At 36.6% G+C, this 18,940-nt stretch overlaps 1 protein-coding gene and 2 long non-coding RNA genes across 10 annotated transcripts in view, besides 1 other annotated feature; 1 reads left to right on the top strand and 2 right to left on the bottom strand.

The window, feature by feature from the left end:
* The window catches only part of LOC105379096 (uncharacterized), an 86,202-nt gene extending 77,958 nt beyond the window's left edge, over positions 1–8,244 (top strand). The window contains exons 3-4 of the long non-coding RNA XR_001742447.2: positions 6,323–6,412; positions 8,156–8,244. This is a non-coding gene — a long non-coding RNA (uncharacterized LOC105379096). The remainder of the gene's footprint in view (positions 1–6,322; positions 6,413–8,155) is intronic.
* The window catches only part of CAST (calpastatin), an 813,255-nt gene that overhangs the window by 780,174 nt on the left and 14,141 nt on the right, over positions 1–18,940 (bottom strand). The gene's annotated exons all lie outside the window — the stretch shown is intronic.
* The window catches only part of LOC101929710 (uncharacterized), a 669,085-nt gene that overhangs the window by 636,576 nt on the left and 13,569 nt on the right, over positions 1–18,940 (bottom strand). The gene's annotated exons all lie outside the window — the stretch shown is intronic.
* Positions 7,151–7,445: an enhancer, noted in NCBI's record as "tiled region #2569; HepG2 Activating DNase matched - State 5:Enh". NCBI's record gives its function as "activates a minimal TATA promoter and a strong SV40 promoter by Sharpr-MPRA in HepG2 cells {active_cell/tissue: HepG2}" and the evidence as "EXISTENCE:reporter gene assay evidence [ECO:0000049][PMID:27701403]".

Raw genomic sequence — 18,940 nt, 5'->3', positions numbered from 1 at the left:
AAAAAATTTCCTCTTTGCACTGATCCTCCTCCACCCTCCCCCTAACACCCAGCCTCAGCCTATAGTTTTACCTTTTCCAGAATTTCTTATGAATAGAATCACATGGAATATAATGTTGTGATTTCTTTTAACATAAGGTTTTTGAAATTCATCCATGTTATCAATATTTCTATTATTGCAAAATAGAAATCCATAGTATGATTATACCACAATTTGTTTATCAGTTACCCAGTTGATGGATAATTGGATTGTTTCGTTAGACACCATTACAAGTAATGTGGTTATAAACACTGACACACAACTCTTTGTATGGACACATATTTTCATTTCTCTTGGACAAATACCTACAAAATAGGAGAGTGTTGGGTCATATGGTTAGCATATGCTTACTATGGACAGTATCAAGTTGTTTTCCAGAGTAGTTGAACACTTTGCAGACCCACTTGCAAAGTAGGAAGTTCCAGTTGCCCCACATCTTTGTCAATGCTTGAGATTGCCAGGCTTTTAATTTTAGCCATTCTAGTGAGTTTGTAGTGGTATCTCTTTAATTTAAAGTAATTAATTTAAATTTAAATTAATTTAATTTAAATTAATGCAAATTAGTTTTAATTTGCATTTCCCTGATAACTAGTGATGTTGAGTACCTTTTCATGTGCTTACTGGGCAAACATAGATGTTCTTTTTTGAAGCGTCTGTTCAAATCCTCTGCCCAAAGTTGTTTTCTTATTATTGGTTGTAAGAGTTCTTTATATATTCTGAATTCAAGCCTTTGGTCAAATGTGTTTTGCAGATACTTTCTCCCAGTCTGTGGCTTGCCTTTTCATTTTCTTAATGTACCTTTCACAAAATAAAATTTTAAATTTGGGGGAAGTCCATTGTTGATTGTTTTCTTGTAAGAGTCATTTTTGTGATTTAAGAAATCCTTTCTTAACCTAGGCTTTCTCAAACTTGGCACATACTGAACTTTGTTGCAGGGGCTGTCTTGTGCATTGTGGGAGGTTTATCAGCATCTTGGGCCACACCCACTGGCTAGCAAATGCACCCTTTCCACTCCAGTTGTGATAACCAAAAATGTCTCCAGACATTGCCAAATGTCCCTTGCAGTACAAAATCACCCCTGGCAAGAACCACTGGTTTAACCCAACACTACAAATATTTCCTCCTATAATTCTTTTTCTAGCTTTAGCTCTTACATTTAAATTTTCTAGCTTTAGCCCTTACATTTAAATTTACAATCCACATTAATTTCTGTGTAGGGTCTAAGGTAAGGATCAAGGTTTATTTTTTCCATAAAGATATTCAATTGTTCTAGTGTCATTTGTTAGAAAAATTATCCTTTTCCCCACCAAATTACCTTGGTGCTTTTGCTGAAAATCAGTTGATCATATAAGTAAAGCTCTATTTCTGAGCTCTCTATTGTGTTGCATTGCTATATCTCTATCTTTATGCTGATAACATGGTCTTGATTATTATAGCTGTATAATAAGTCATGAAATCAGGAAATCTATTTTAATTTTTAAAAAGTGTGTTTTCTACTTCCCACACTACACTGATGTCAAAAAGTCTAAATACCTCATTTTTTTTCAAAATTGTTTTGAATTTTCTAGGTCCTTTGCCTTTCCGTAAATTTTAGAATAAACTCAACAATTTTTTTAAATAAACTTTTTATTTTGGAATAATTTTAGATTTGCAGAAAATTTGTGAAAGTGGTATAGTTCTCACATACCCCTCACCCAGTTTTAGTTTCTCCTAATATTATTATCTTACATTACTGTGGTACATCTGTCAAAACTAAGAAACCAACATTGGCATTATCACTATTAACTAAACTAAATACTTTATTTGGATTTCACCAGTTTTCCATGAATGTCTTCTTTCTGTTCCAAGATCTAATCTAGAATATCACATTGCATTTAGTCATCCTGTCTCTCCAATCTCCTGGTCTGTGTCAGTTCTCAGCCTTTCCTTGTTTTTCATGCATGACCTTAACAATCTTGAAGAGTATTGATCACGTATTTTGTGCAATGTCCCCCAGTTTGGTTTATCTGATGTTTTTCTCATGATTAGACTAGGCCCATGGGTTTTCAAGGAAAAAAAAAAAAAGCATAGAGAAGTACCCCTCTCATCACATAATATCAGGAGACACCTGATATCCACATAACATCACTGATAATGTTAAAGTCAATTTCTTTTTTATATGCTTGCTAGGATTTTGATTGGAATTGAAATGATTCTATGTATCGGTTGGGAGGACAATTGTCATTTTAATAACACGGAGTTTTCCAATCCATAAAATCCATTTAGAGAATTCTCTTTAGAATTTTCTTTAATTTCCCTTGCCTCCTCCAAGCATGGATTTCTCGTCAAGATCCATATGCTTCTGCTCACTCTTCTGAACCTTTAAGTAGCTGCTGCATATTATTAATGTCATTTCCCAGAGTCTATAGTTCTTACCTGCAGAAGGTTAGTTCAGTGAGATCTAATTCATCTGTTACTGAAAATAGAGCCCAACATTGCCTCAAATACTTTTTTAAAAATATTGAAACATAGTATTTGTACATATTTATGGAGTACAAGTGATATTTTGTTACACACATAGAATAAGTAGTGATTAAGTCAGGTATTTGAGTATTTATAATTTCTGTGGGTTGGACACATTTCAAGTCCTCTGTTCTAGCAATTTTGAAATATAAAATATATTGTTGGCCAGGTACGGTGGCTCACACCTGTATTCCCAGCACTTTGGGAGGCTGAGGCGGGTGACTAACTTGAGCTCAGAAGTTCGAGACCAGCCTGGCCAACATGGTGAGATCCCGTCTCCACTAAAAATACAAAAATTAACCGGGAGCAGTGGCACGTGCCTATAATCCCAGCTACTCAGGAGGCTGAGGTAGGAGACTCGCTTGAGCCCTGGAGGCAGAGGTTACAGTGTGCCCAGATCACACCATTACACTCTAGCCTGGGTGACAGAGTGAGACCTTTGTCTCAAAAAAAAAAAAAAAAAAAAAAAAACAAAACTTGTTGTTAACTATAGTCACTCTACTCTGAACATTAGAATGTATTTCTTCTATCAAACTGTATGTTTGTACCCATTAACTAGCCTGGAAAAAACAGACAAATTTATTATCCTTAAAATACCTTTAGAGTATGGTCATCATAACAATCTGTGCTAAGCCAACCTGCAATCTTAAAGTTCACTAACAGCTGGTAGACACACAGCCTGTGATCGTGAAACAAAGCTTTTCTCTGTGTGAAAGGAATAGACTATATGGAATTGATGTCTTCATACTTGGTTAAAATTTCAAATCTTAAGAGACCAAGCATAGGAGAACCATATATTTAATTCTTTATGAAAATTATCCAATGTCCTTGTTGTGGCAAAGTGGGCATCTTTCTGTGCAGCAATAAATTTTTGATGGTAATACAGTTAACTTTTTTGGAAAGCAAATGCACAAGAACCTTTAAACTATTCATATATTTCACCTAGTATTTCCACTTCTGGGACTCTCTCCTGTGGAGAAAACACTAATTAGAGTTAGAAGGAAGAGTGACCCTTAAGTACAAATATTTTCACAAAAGCATTGCTTATAATACTTTTCTAAAATGGGCTCGGTGTGGTGGCTCACACCTGTAATCCTAGTGCTTTGGGTGGCTGAGGTGGGAGTATCACTTGAGCCCTGAAGTTCAAGGCTATAGTGAGCTATGATCACACCACTGCATTCTAGCCTGGGTGACAGTGAGACACCATCTCTAAAAATAAAGATAAAAAATTAATTAATTTTTTAAATGATACTATGTAAAATATCCAATAAGAAGATAAATGCTTATATTCACATAATCATTTTTAAATGTTTATAAAAAGTTTTTGACATTATAATGTTAAGCATATATAATATGCTGTATGAGCTCAACTCTAATTTCTTTTAAGTGTAGAACAAAAAGACTAGAAGATAATATAATAATTTTAAAGGTGACTGGTGGGACTGTAGATGTTTCCTTTTTCTTCTTTCTACTATTTTTCAATAGTAAGCCAAGAAAACAGTAAGATATTTTTAATATTATAAAAACAAACCTTATTATTGAATTTTTGATCCAGAAAAGAAAAAACTTCAGAATACTAGTTTGCCCCTATACTTTATTGATAAGGAAACTTCCTCATCAAATTGTTTAAACTCCCTATATCTCCTATTGATAAGGAAACTTCCTTTAAACTAAGTGAGCTCACAAAGCAAGTTGGCAATTCTCTAAAACTGACATTTCCTGACTCTGGACATGATACTATATTTTGGTCATTTTTGCTGTGTTCCAGACTCCATTTCTAGGCTTAAGGGAACAGACATGGTTCACATCAGCAAGATTTAATTAAAATAATTTTTAAATTATTAAATAAAATATTTCAAGCTTATTTTTAACATGAATGCTCTAGAATCTGGAAAATGGAAGGAATCTTAGAGTTGTGTTTCCAGTGAATATTTCAAAGGGTGAGTAGAAGTGGAATTTTATTCTAAAAAGCTTTCTAGTTTTGAGATTTAAGGGTCTAATAAAGAACTCATGTTACATTTTATTTATTAAAAGCTCACTGTTTCCTTGTTAGAGTTATTACTGTTTGCTTGCAGTTACCCAAACAGACATGGCAGGGTACAACAAGATCTTGTAAATCAGGACTTTCTGTTCTGAATGGGTTCATCTTTACTGTTGACCTCTCAGCTAATGGTATAGTACCTGATAATTATCTACTAAATCATACATTGGACATAATGATCTTTAACTTACCTTCAAATATCCCAAACAATTTTTCCTAAAGTCTTTCTAAATTAAAAAAAAAGAAGACATTTATAACTTAACATTTCATATCCCTGGAAGATAATCCAATGGGAATATATAAGGTTAATAGAGTGTTCTTATCAAAAGTGATCTGGTCTGTTTGACTTACTGTTTGGAGTCCAGGTAATCAGGCCTATTTACTAGTTTAAGAATGTTCAGCAATTAGCAGTGTTCAAACAGCACCAATCTGCTATGTTATTTCAGCTGGGAAAGCAGCTTATATGAACCAATACGGCTTCCTTTCTAAAAATAAATGACAGCACTTTCTACTCACTGGGGAGCTGGTCCTTGGTCCTTTAGGCATGTCACACTGTCACAGTGCATAACAAAACAAAAGAGTGTGAAACATCTAAATAATTAAAAACCCAAAAGATATATCATGCTCTCAGATTTAAAAAAATAATAATAAAGTAACTTTGCCAACAGAAACATTATTGCAGGAAGACAAAACAAATATAAAGTGAATTTAAGAGGTTGTCTCTTTTCCATCAAGAACAACTACCTTCCTTGTTTTTAAGGCGGCTTAGTTATATTAGCAATTTTTAACACAGGGTACCTCAAATCAACAATCCCTTGCTTTTTAGACTTTGACACTTCCCCAGCTGCTAGGCCTGTGCTTAACTAAACAAGTACAGTAGCACAAGTGGAACATTTATGTAACATAGGAACTATAAATGTTCTTTTAAAAACAGGCCCACTCGTTCCAAAAGATATGACAAAGAAACAAGAGCATTACGTTTTTTAAATAGCTTCAAAATTCCTATGAGGAATGTATATTTTCTTCTACTTGCTGAAGTTAAAAGTGTCATATCATCTGTTTGCTGATGATAAAATGTCCTTTCTAAACAATTTTTTAAAAATTCACTGAGCATTTATCGGGTGTCAGATTCTATTCTAAAGAGTTTATGCGTATTCTGTCACTTAATCTTTGCAATAACCTTATGAGGTGTGGTTACCAACATTTATCCCTATTTTGCAAATGGAAAGACTGAGACTTAGAAAGGTAAAGAAACCCATCCAACATCAGTTAGCTATAGCAAATACTGGAGCATGGTTTGCACTCAGACCATCTGACTTCAGAGTCTCCACTATGGGTAAATCAAAATAATACTAAGGAGTTTTTTTGAATAAAAGAGCTGTCAAAATATCTGAAATAAATATTACAGATAATAAAATCATCAAACATGTTCTATGTATGACTTTTATTTTCTCAGTTACAGACACTTATTTAGGGACTTCCCTTATCATTGCCAGCTCCTTCTTTCACCTTGTACCCCTTTCTCTTGATCACACACACTCACGCACACACACACACATACCGGCAGCTTCATTGTATACTGCCTGTGGTAGGAACAAATAGGGCAGAAAGAAGTTAATGTTCCACTTTAACAAATGGATTAAATGGTAAGTGTAGCCCCAGAACTGGTGGGAGGGAAGGGAGAAAAGATCATTATTTGTAGAATCGATTACATGTTCCCACTTGCTTGTTTACTTCTAGGTAAACTCATTTATAGGTATATAGAAACAAGCAAAAATGTCTCCACACAAGGGATGATTCCTGGATTTCCTTTACTTTTCTGCCCAAGCCGTAAGTCTTGCTACTTACCTGACAAAAGCTAATGTAGTGGATTTTCTAGAACAGAGTTAAAGATAAATTTTCCCTTAATAAACTTGGATCTTAGTAAAGTAGATCCTGTAGAATGTAGATCAGCACTTTCTAGTCTCTAGAACTTTCTGCAATGAAGGAAACATTTGATATCTCTGCTGTCCAATATGGTAGCCACTAGTCACATATGGCTGCTGAGCACTTTAAATGTGGCTAGTGCAATTGGGGAACCAAATTTTTACCTTTATCTAACTTTTAAATAGTCACGTATAGCTAATGGCTATCATATTGGACAGCACAGCAATAGACCCATCTCAATTACAATTCATTGAGTATCTACTGTGTGCCACATGGCTACCTTTGAGGAAGATACAATTTGGTCCCAATTTTACAGATAGAGAAACTAAGGCTCAGAGAGACTAAGTGACTTGTCCACAGATTTACAACTAATAAGTAGTAAATTCTGGATATTACATCTACATCTGTCCCTCTCAAGGCCTGATGCTTTTACACAACCTGTGGTTCTCAACACTGGCTGTGTACTAGTTGGTGTGCTCTTCAAAAATACTCATCCCCAGGTCCCACTCCCCAGAAATTTTTGTTTAATTGGTTGGAGGCAGCGCCTAGGCACGTGCATATCTCCGAAATTTCCCTGTACAACATCATCAGGTTGACTGACGCCCCCTATTCTAGTACAGGAAAACTATTTCCAAAAGGTAGTTGTGATGAGGTTCTACCTCTTCTCTCAAGCATGGTTAACAGGTTAGTGCTGAAAGAGAGAGAGAGAAAAAAAAGAAAGGGTCACACTCCTTTGTTTTACAGATCAAAGTATGAAACCAAGAGAGGCTACTCTAAGCTAAGGTGAGGTCACAGAGCTGGTGTTTGTATTAGAGCTGAGACTGGGGCCCAGGTGTTGAGTTATAGATAAATGCTCCAGCTTCTGGAGCTGTGGGGGCAGCAAGGGTCCGAAGGTCAGGAAAGCTCAGCTCAGGGATTTAAAGTCCCAGGCAGCAATCAGAAGCCCAAGGGCAGACAGGCTATGACTGTGCAGTACTTCACTATTTCTAGAGGTGGGAACACTCAGCTGTCCAGGCTTGTCTGCTTCATCCTCTCCATCTCCTTTCTGCCACTCCAAAGGTCCTTAGGAGTGGTCCACAGGCCTCTGTGCAGCATTTTTTACTCTGCCAAGGTTACTTACAATGGATATAACCCTACCCTGGCACATAATAGATGCTTACAATCATGAATGTGAAATGAATAAAAGTAGATTTGGGAACTCAAGATTACTGAGGCTACTCAGCTTCTAGGTGAGCTCAGATATCTAACTGTGAAAAATAACTCTTTAAGAAATCAAATTTAAAAATCCCTTCAGAACCTTTGCACTTTTCTCAGAAAGGTGGCTCCAGAAGACGATATCAGCCTCTAGGACAGGCTTATTTTTTGTTTCAGCAGCTGAAAAGCCTTGAAAGTGATTAAGTAAGAAGAGAAGATGAAAATACTGACAAAAAGTTAAAAAGAGGAATTTATACCATATCCATATGTACTCCAAGGGTCCTGTTAAGTACAGGCAACCTACATTTGTCCCTCTTAGGTTAGGCGAGAGTGCTTGAAAGAAACTGCCACAAAAATAGAATATGCTGCTATAAACATTATCACTCAGACTAGCTAAGTATTTCTTTCTCTTATATGATAAAGGAGTAAAAATAAAAATAATTTGTGTTTTAGATTGTCCTCAGGAATGATGTGTGGCTATAAAATGTACTGTGGAAATCATCTCTCCATTCAGGAACTCAGCACAGCTGCTACCATGAGGAGACTGCGTATGTTCTGAAGCTAACGAACCTGTGTTCAAGAATCTGCCTTTAGAAGTAACAGCACTGAAAGCCATAAGCAAAAAAATCTCAAGTATGATGGTAGCAAATAGCTTCACATAGAAACATCTACTCTGTTGGCAAGTGCCCTTTAGAAAGCAGGACTTAAATTCTTTTAAAACAAAATCACCAGTCATTCTTAGGAGTCTGCTGCTTGCAAAAGTAGGAAAAACAGGTTTTTTGAGCTACAGCTGCAGATTCAAAAATTAGTTTGTACCAGTTGATTTTGCTTTAGTAATGTAAAAAGTAAAAAACCCAAAGAGAGCAGTAAGAATTAGCTGAGGGTGTTTAGAGATGTCAAAGAAAATAACGGCAGAAAAAGCCACTTCAAATATCTCCAGATTTGAATTTCAAGCCACAGTTTCTTTTAAATCTGCTTTCCCAACCCCTAGGCCAGTTTTTCTTTAATAGTAATACGTGCCCAAGGTTTAAAAATAACACTGAGGTATTAAATAGAACATTAAAGTCCCCTAACTCCTATCTACTTTCAATCCTATTGCAAATCCCCAGAACATTCTTAAAATTATCACTGACTGTATCTTAAAAGGTTAAAGAAACATGGTGTCCAATGTGTAAATGTCCTAAGGAAGTCTGTTTCTCTGGCCTTGAATTTTCCATCAGGGGCCAGCTATGTAACTTAGGGAACGTGAGACACAGACTCAAAAGATGAAAGCTCAACTCCTCACTTCTTTCCAACCAGGTTTGTGCCTTTGAGCAGAGCATTTCCACTTGCTGGAATTCTTTTCCCCCTTCTGGAAAGTAAGGGAAATTAAAATGCTGACTCTTGGTTTGCTTCTATTCAAATCTTCTTTACTGGCATTAATAGAAACATAAAGGAGTCACAAACATAAGCCACATAGGTAATTTTATTTCTTTTTTCTTGTTGTTTCTTTTAGAGACAAGGTCTTAATCTGTTGCCCAGGCTGGAGTACAGTGGCACAAACACAGCTCACTGCAGCCTTGAACTCCTGGGCTCAAGTGATCCTCCTGCCTCCGTCTCCTAAATAGCTAAGACTACAGGTGCAGGCTACTACACCCAGCTAATTTTAAAAATTTTGTGTAGAAATGGGGTCTTGCAATGTTGCCCAGGTTGGTCTCAAACTCCTGGCCTCAAGGGAACCTCCCTCCTTGAACTCCCAAAGTGCTGGGATTACAGGATGTGAGCCACTATGTCTGGCCTTCAGCCATATAGGTAACTATAAATTTTTTAGAAACCACTTTTGGCTTTAATAATGCTCTTTATCTCAGTATATTCAAAATATCATTCAACATATAATCAATATAAAAGCATTAATATTTTATGAATAAAAATATTCAACACGTAATCAATATAAAAACATTAATATTTTGATACTATCTCTTTTTCAAAGTAGGTGTTCAATGTCTGATTTATATTTGACACAAGACATCTTGATTCAAACTAGCCACATTTCAAGTACTCAGTACTTGTATCTAGTTACTACTGTTTAGGGTAGTGCAGTGTCATACCAGTGCTGGACATTGTTCCAAAGACACTCTATTTTGGTGAGAAGCTCACTTCTGTATCTCTGCCTCTGCTGCCAAAAAATATATATTATTGATTATTATTTGTTGGGAATGTCTAATTATCAGCAACAAAGTGTAGAATCTACTTGGATTTCTCAGAGAGTTTCAGTATTAGACCTTTGATTAATACCAGTGCTATTTCCCTGTAGTAGATTTGGTCTTCCAGTGACTTTTTCTTGTCTGGCTGAGTCATTCCCATTGAATTTTAGGTCACTTACTGTAAGCTTCACAGGATAATTAGGATAGAGTATCACTGTTAATCAACAACTTGAAAAGTATCATCTGCTTTTAAAAAGCAGATGAAAATACTAACTGACCTAAAAGGCGAAAGTAAAATTTAAAGTAAATGAATTTTACTTTATTTTCTCCAAAAATTAGCTACTTTCATTCATCAATCATGTTGCATGCCTCTCAAACCTCACACTAAGAAAAACACCTCCAGCCTCAACAAGCAGTGAAAAGTAGGTCAAATTTTTAAACACTACTCTGTTTTCCAATAAATTCAACAAATAATTCTTGAATACTTTCCACAGACCAGGAGCTGTACTTAGTGTTGAGGATTCCTGCCTTGATGGTTTAATTTCAAAGATTTCATCAGGTTAGCCCATTATCAGAGACTCTGGCATGTATGTTGGGGCAGGAGTATAGGTTTGCATTCTAGGGTATTTTTTCCTATAAAGCCTTCCCCTAGGATCTACATTTTTAAATGAGCCCATTTTTACCCCTCCAAATCTATTCTGTCTGCAAGACAAAATCTGCTGAAATATGTTATATACCACTTTTGGTGTATGCTGTAAATTAAAAATCAGCATGTTTATTGTAAAAGAAAATATTCAAGCAAATTAGAAGTCTGAAAAGAAAATGTTCCCCCTTCTCTTAATGCATTATCCCCAGGTGCACCCCTTAGAGGTGACCACTGTTGAAGTATTATTCTAAAACCTCCAAGCATATATAAATATGTACACACATATGAATACATATGCAAATTTTGAAAGAATATTTTTAAAGTAACATGTGATTATGAAGAAAATTCAAATAATACAGAAGCACATAAAAATGGAGTAATCTGTATTCACATACAATATTTGATGGCGTATTTTAAAGTAACACGATTATGGACAAAATGCAAATTGTAAAATGCAAAGTGAAATTTTTCCCTACCCCACATTCCCATAACCCAAAAGTAATAAAAAAATGCCCATAGTTGTGTCTTTGTGTGTGTGTGGATCTTTTGTGAATTTTTCTACAAATATATATAGACTATGCCTAACAGAGTTATGAAATGTGCTTTCAAATACTTTTTATTGTGAAATCTAATATATGCATAGGTAAGTGTACAAAACAACAAAGTGAGCCCTCTTGCAACAACCACTCAGGTTAAAAAGCAGAGTACTGCCAGCCCTCTTCAGGACTTCTAATCACTACCCCCTCTCACCCTCTCTCTCAGAGGTTTCCAGTATCCTGACTTTTAGAGTCATCAACTTGTTGTTGTTCTTATTAATTTTATTGCCTAAGCACACATCATTAAGCACTATAACTTTGCCTGTTATTAGAGTTTAAGTAAATAGAACCATACCATATGTATTTTCTTGTGTCTGGCTGCTTTTATTTACAAAATTTGTTTATTTTTAACTTAATACATCTTGGGGCATCTTAGTGAACATATATAGAATTGCCTCATTCTTTCATTTTCATGGTATAGAACTGAACATATTTCCAAATGAATAACCGAATTATTTTCACGCTTTTTGATCATTATAAATAATGTTGTAAAAAATATCTTGGGCATTTGTCTTTATAAATTAATTTTTTAAAACTTAAAAAGTAATCCTACTACTAATGTAAAATTAGGTGGAATATCAATTATTTCAGAATTCTGAATGAAAGAACCTTTATCTTTAAAAATCTATAAATGTCAAATGTAAAATATGTTGGGATCATAGTCTGGATATGAAGCAAAATTTGGTGCAATTTGCACCCAAAGCCAGCCAAGTCCTAATGTGAATGATACTATTAATTGACAATGAACACACACTCTGCGAGGCACTATTCTCTGCATTTTACATGCCCAACAACCCATTAAGTTAGGCCCTATAATTACTACCAATTTACAGATAAGAAAACAGGCCTGGAGATGATAAGTCACTTGGCCAACATCACACAGTGGTTAAGAGTAATATCTTTAACCCTTAGGTTTGTATACATCCTTGGGGACCCTCAATAAAGCAACAGCACAAGAGAATTTCCTCTGTGGTGATAGAACAGTTCTATATTTTGATTGTGCTAGTGGTTACACAAATCTATACATGGAATAAAATTGCATATAACTACACACACACACACACACACACAATTGAATACAAGTAGAAAATGGTGAAAATGGAATCAGGTCTGTAGTTAACAGTATTAGAGCTTGGATCCCAGAGGGGAGTGATAAAAAATAGTATTGGACTGATGTTAACTTCTTGGTTTTGATATTGCATTACAGTTCGATTACATATTATACTGTATTACATCTCATATGTAATACAGTAAAATGCTTATTTTATATTTTATATTACATATAAAATGTATTACATCTTATATGTAATACAGTATAATATGTAATCGAACTGTAATGCAATATCAAAACCATGGGTTTGCATTGGTGGTGAGCACAGGGAAAGGGAGATGCCTGACATGCCTTCTCTGGGAGTTGAGTGAAGGATACATGGAAATTATGTACTATTTTTCCAACTTCTTGTTAGTCTATAATTATTTCCAAATAAAATGCTTTTTTTTCTTTTCTTTCAAATGGAGTCTCGCTCTGTTGCCAGGCTGGAGTGCAGTGGTGCGATGTCGGCTCACTGCAACCTCCACCTCCCGGGTTCAAGTGATTCTCCTACCTCAGCCTCCTGAGTAGCTGGGACTACCGGCGCATGCCACCATGCCCAGCTAATTTTTTGTACTTTTAGTAGAGATGGGGTTTCACTATGTTGGCCAGGAAGGTCTCGATCTCTTGACCACGTGATCCGCCCGCCTCGGCCTGCCAAAGTGCTGGGATTACAGGCGTGAGCCACTGCGCTGGGCCACAAAATGCTTTTTAAGGGATAGGTGGTTTCCAGATCAGCTTTGGCATCAGTTGGGAACTTGGAAATGCAAAACCTCAGGTCCCACCTCAGACCTACTAAATTAGAATCTGCATTTTAACAAGAATCTCAGATGATTCATATGCACATTAAACTTTAGAAGCATTGTTATACAAGAAATAAAAGTGATATTCAAGTATTTCTCATCCTGCCACAAAACAAAAAAAGTTTCTTCATTTTAGGGGCAGAAGTTGTTCTGGAGGCCCAGGGCCTGCTCAGTGGTGTACAACCAGTTCAGTCACACAGGATACGTGGTCAGAAAACTCCTTTACCCCATGAGGTTTAATATTCTACCTTGAAATTCTTAATAATTTTATTTTTGAGTTTGTGTTTTATAAGTGAAATCCAATGAGACAACAGAGTATACACAGGGTGCTTGGAGCCTCAGCTCACCAACCAGCCCACTTCCCTGCTTTGCTGGGGTGGGGTTCTCAGCTGCCCCACTTCCCTGTACCCTTGTACTTTGGGTCCCATAGGCCTTTTCCAGCCTGTCCTCACCAACAATTTTTGCTGACCTCCAGCCTCAAAAGGAGGTTGTATTGCTCCCTGTGACATCTCAGGGTGAGGCATGGTGGCAGCTATTCCTGTCTCAGACTGGCAGCACCATGGCATGTTCATGGGTATTGGTGGGCAGGAGGGAGTCTCTTACCTGCCTCTGATCTAGCATGTTTGGCATAGAGGTGGCACTACTCTTGGGGGTCCCCAGCCACCATGGGATTGCATGGGTAGTGGGCACAGGGAAAGGGAGATGCCTGACATGCCTTCTCTGCCACCTGCCAGGGAATGGGTTGGGCAAGTGGATGGCAGTAGGAGAACTTAACGGTGGGTGACGTGAGGGCTTAGTCACAGAGCGAGGCCCTATGTGAATCTGCATTCATCCTGCAGGTATTTCCATGCCTAAGAATGTGCAACATTAAATAGTAAATAAAAACACCATGATAGGTTGAGGGAAAGACTGTGGAATAACAGAAAAAGCTTCATATTTTAATTTTCTTGCTTTTTAAATAGGAGGCTCCACATTTTCATTTTGCGCTGGGCCTCACAAGTGATGTAGCCAGTGCTACAGAGGCCATTGGGAATCAAAAGATGAACTTTCAGGCTGTATTTGGCAGATGCATGGGCCCAGTGGTGAACTCTAATGGGTACCAAAAGCAGCATTCACTAGAAGATGGCCTCCAGGAACCCTTCAGCAACAAAAGGTTTGTTCATCCCCCTTTTATTAAAGGAGACTTTCAATCACAGAAAATATAAGCCAGCACCAAGAACTATAAGCACAGATCTCCCAATTCTTTGTATATCTGTCAGTACCTAGGTATACTTCCATATTTTCTATATATGTCTACAAAGAAAGTAATCAGCGTAACACTTCTACTTTTATTTTTATTTTTTTGCTGTTTGTTTGTTTGTTTGTTTGTTTTGAGATGGAGTCTCACTCTATTGCCCAGGTTAGAGTGCGATGGTGTGACCTTGGCTCACGGCAACCTCCGCCTCCCAGGTTCAAGCGATTCTCCTGCCTCAGCCTCCCAAGTAGCTGGGATTACAGGTGCCCACCACCATGCCTGGCTAATTTTTATATTTTTAATAGAGACAGGACTTTACCATGTTGGTCAGGCTGGTCTCAAACTCCTGACCCAAGGTGATCCACCCATCTCAGCATCCCAAAGTGCTGGGATAACAGGCTTGAGCCACCATGCCTTGCCACACTTCTACTTTTAAAAATTAAAATTCCTATGCAGCTTTAAATATAGAAAAAACATGGGACTTTGGAATAAGTCTTAGATGAGGGAGAGAAAGGATTTAGGTTATAGGGAATATGTTCATACTTTTATATGTATAGCTCTTCTTAAATTAATCCATACAATAAGTACTCATTGAGCCCTCCCAAAAAGACCACTAGTAAACTTAAACTAATTCTCTCTGAAGCATTTTTGAGATCCTGTACTTTTTCCAAAAATAATTTTTAAATCCTGCCTTTTTCAACTCTTCCCCATAAATAATTTATTGATGACTAAAAAAATTATATTCAGAAATAACACACATATTTATTGTTCATACTCTTGTTTCTCTATCCTGGGCAGTGTCAATCTTTCTTTTACTTATATCCTCTATCCTGAACTGATAATGTTACTTAGCATATGTCATGTGTAACTGAAGAGAAGGCAAAAGCTTAAAAGTTATTTTGTCTAGGAAGGTGTTCTCAGTGAGTTTGTTTAATAGGATAAATGCAAATTTTTATCTGTAGCATGACCCCAATTTTAATCTCATGCATTTATATATATATAATTGTGGCTGGGATGAATTGGTACATAAAGTTCTTAGTAATGGTTGTTTTAGGGTGTGGAATTGTAGGTGATTTTAGTTTTCTTTTTTCTATTTCTCTGTATTTTCCCAGTTTGTCTTCAGTGAATATTATAGGGGACGTTAGCAACATTACATGATAGAGCCCTAATGCATCTGATACTCATTATTCTTTAATATGAACCACTTGGATTTTTTTCAGAAATGTACTTTGCTCTTTTGGATACTGCCACCAGTTCACTGACAGGAGTGATGAAGCTGAGTGTGAATTTCCCACATTTAAGGAGTGTTAATTCATTTAGTAGCATAATTAAGTCGCCACCTGATAACCCAAGAGTCAGTGCAACTCATCAGACTTTAAATGCCCAATTAATTTACTCTTCTGTGCTACATCAGCATATGTATCCTGATTTTGTTAAGTGTACCATGAAGGTTTTTTTTAAAAAATATTATGTTGTAGGACAATGATTTCCATATAATACTGTAGAACAGTGGGTCCAGGAAGCCTAAAAACTCCTTCTTATAGTTTCAGTTGAAAAATTGCTTATCCAATTGCAACAAAAGCAAAAATTGACAAATAGGATCTAATTAAATTAAAGAGCTTCTGCACAGGAAAAGACACTATCAATAGAGTAAACAGACAATCAACAGAATGGGAGAAAATGTTTGCAAACTATGCATCTGACAAAGGTCTAATATCCAGCATCTAAAAGAAACAAACAAATTTACAAGAAAAAAAAACAACCACATAAAAAAGTGAGCAAAGGAAATGAACAGATACTTTTCAAAACAAGACATACATGTCGGCAACAAGCATATGAAAAAAGGTTCAACTTCACTGATCATTAGAGAGATGCAAATCAAAACCATAATGAGATATCATCTCACACCAGTCAGAATGGCTATAATTAAAAAGTCAAAACATAACAGATGCTGGGGAGGTTGCAGAGAAAGAAGAACACATATACACTGTTGGTAAAAGTGTAAATTAGTTCAATCATTGTGGAAAGCAGTGTGGAGATTCCTCAAAGAGCTAGAAACAGAACTACCGGTCAACCCAGCAATCCCATTACTGAACATATACCCAAAAAAATATAAATCATTCTATCATAGAGACACATGCACACGTGTGTTCATCCAGCACTATTCACAATAGTAAAGACATGGAATCACCCTAAATGTCCATCAGTGGTAGACTGGATAAAGAAAATGTGGTACATACACACCGTGGAATACCATGCAGCCATAAAAAAAAAAACCAAGATCCTGTCCTTTGCAGGAACATGGATGGAGCTGGCGGACTCCAGCAAACTAATGCAGGAACAGAAAACCAAATACCACCTGTTTTCACTTAGAAGTGGGAGCTAAATGATGAGAACACATGGACACATAGAGGGGAACGACAGATACTGGGTTCTTCCTGAGAGTGTAGGGTGCGAGGTTGGAGAGGATCAGGAAAAACAGATAATGAGAACTAGGCTTAATACCTGGGTGATGAAATAACCTGTACAACAAACCCCCATGACATGAGTTTACCTATTTAACAAACCTGCACATGTACCCCTGAACTTAAAAAAAAGTGAAAAAAAAGAAAAATCACTTATCTTATAATCATGGAAGAATCTATCATAATAAAATGTGTACAGTATATACTTACTAATTGTAACTGTTAACATGTCCTACTTTCAAGAGCTTTCAAATAACTTCTGTTTTCCCATAGTATTTTCCAGATAGAACTTAGGCTATTAAATGAAAGGACAGGAAGCATAAGCACAGTGTGAATTTCCCCAAAAATACATGCGGCACAACTTAATTGACAATGTGAAGGTATTAAAAGGTAGAGCCTTTAGAAGGTGATTAAGTTAGGAGGGCAGAGCCCTCATGGATGGGATTAGAGACCTTACAAAATGGCTTGAGGTAGTGGGTTTGTTTTCTTCTGCCCTTTTGCACAGACACTGCAAGAAAATGTCATCTGTAGGACAAGCCCTCACCAAACACTGAATCTGCCAGTGCTTCCTAGCCTCCACAACTGTCAGAAATACATTCCTATTGTTTATAAGTTGCCCAGTTTGTGGCATTAATATTTTGTTATAGCAGCAGAAATGTACTAAGAAAGTCCTCAAAATACGGCAGCTATTATTAGTGTTATCTACTTAATCTAGACACATAAATATTAATCATGTTAAAAAATACCCACAAAGACAACAGCTAACATCATCATCATGCTACTGAGTGTCATTTTACAGAAAAGAAAACTAAGGCACAGAGAGGTTAAATAACTTGCCCAAAGTCATACATTAATAAATGATAGGGCAGGGGTCAGAATTGAGGAAATATGGCAGCCAAATACACCAACTGGAAAACAGAGAACGAGAAAAAACATCTGCCAACTGAATGATCAAGTTAAAAAATATTTATTCAGGGCAGCTGTGCAAAATGAAGCCTTCTTCCTCAAGAAGCTGAACTATAATCTCACTGTAATATAATCTCACAGTGATTAAAAACACACTTGAGTAAGAAAGAATCTTCTCCCTTAAAAAGCTGACAATTTAGTGACAGTTAAGGTAGAAGATGAGTTTTAAAAATTAGGTAATCTAGTGTGTATCCTGGATGTCAAAACCAATAAATAAATAATAAACAAGAGATAGGAGTGTATGCTCTTTAAAGTACTTTCCATATCTGGAAGATTCTATAACTCTCTTTGCTTTAAGTTTTGCCATGAAAAGTTAGAAAAATTTCAAAAGCCAGCTATATACATGAACCACAAGCACAGGGATTCATTCAAATGAATCAGGAATAACCTCTGGTTTGGTATTATAATTCCGCAAACTGCAGAACTTTGTCTGAATATGAACACCAAATCAGCAAAATCTGACTCCCCGTTGCTAACACAGAACTAGTTTATATCATATTCATGTGTGTAGTTGCTTTGGGTCCAGTCTCTAGAAATGCTCCATCTTACCTAAGTATCAACAAAGGCAGGAAAAACCTTGTCCAAAAATATTTTTAAGTGGTTGATGTGGGCAGATGGAAACAACGGAATACTAGATCTACAGAATATCTGGTGGAGAATCTAGATTTTGATTGTTTGTATTTGATGGGATTTTCAAATTACTTTTAAAAGTAAGTCATAAGTGCCAGCCTGAATTAGAGGGGGAGGACTCTCTAGGGACTCAGGCTGTGTTTTGAGAAATGTGCTTGGGAGCACAGTGCACCTTATCCCCAGAAAGGAAAAGTGCCCTTGAAGATTACAAGCAACAATTTCTATCTTGCCTCCAACATGACCAGAATAGGGTGGAGCCACAAGATTTGACTCCCCCTGGCTATCGTCAGGGGACCAATTACTATATTCATGGCTAACTTAATGGGATCCTGAGTAACATCATTAAGGGCCCAGTAGGCAATAAATGATTATAAAAGAACCTTGTGAAATTCCCTAGGTAGACCATGCCTGGTCTAGCTCCCTTATCTAATACCATCTGTGGATGCATAGATGACCTGGAAATGGAAATTGTGTAACTAATAACTTCTAATTGAAAGAAATTTAACTTAAGTCTATTTATACTGCTCACTGCATGTTATATCTTAGTTCACACCTAGGGAATCTAAACTAGTTATTGCCAACCTCTCTGGAACCCCGAAGCTCAACCATCATTGAATTTCACAAC

This window comes from Homo sapiens, chromosome 5 (assembly GCF_000001405.40).
Source record: "Homo sapiens chromosome 5, GRCh38.p14 Primary Assembly".
NCBI lineage: Eukaryota > Metazoa > Chordata > Mammalia > Primates > Hominidae > Homo > Homo sapiens.
The sequence above is the reverse complement of the archived record's forward strand: the minus strand, read 5'-3'. Positions and strand labels throughout refer to the sequence as shown.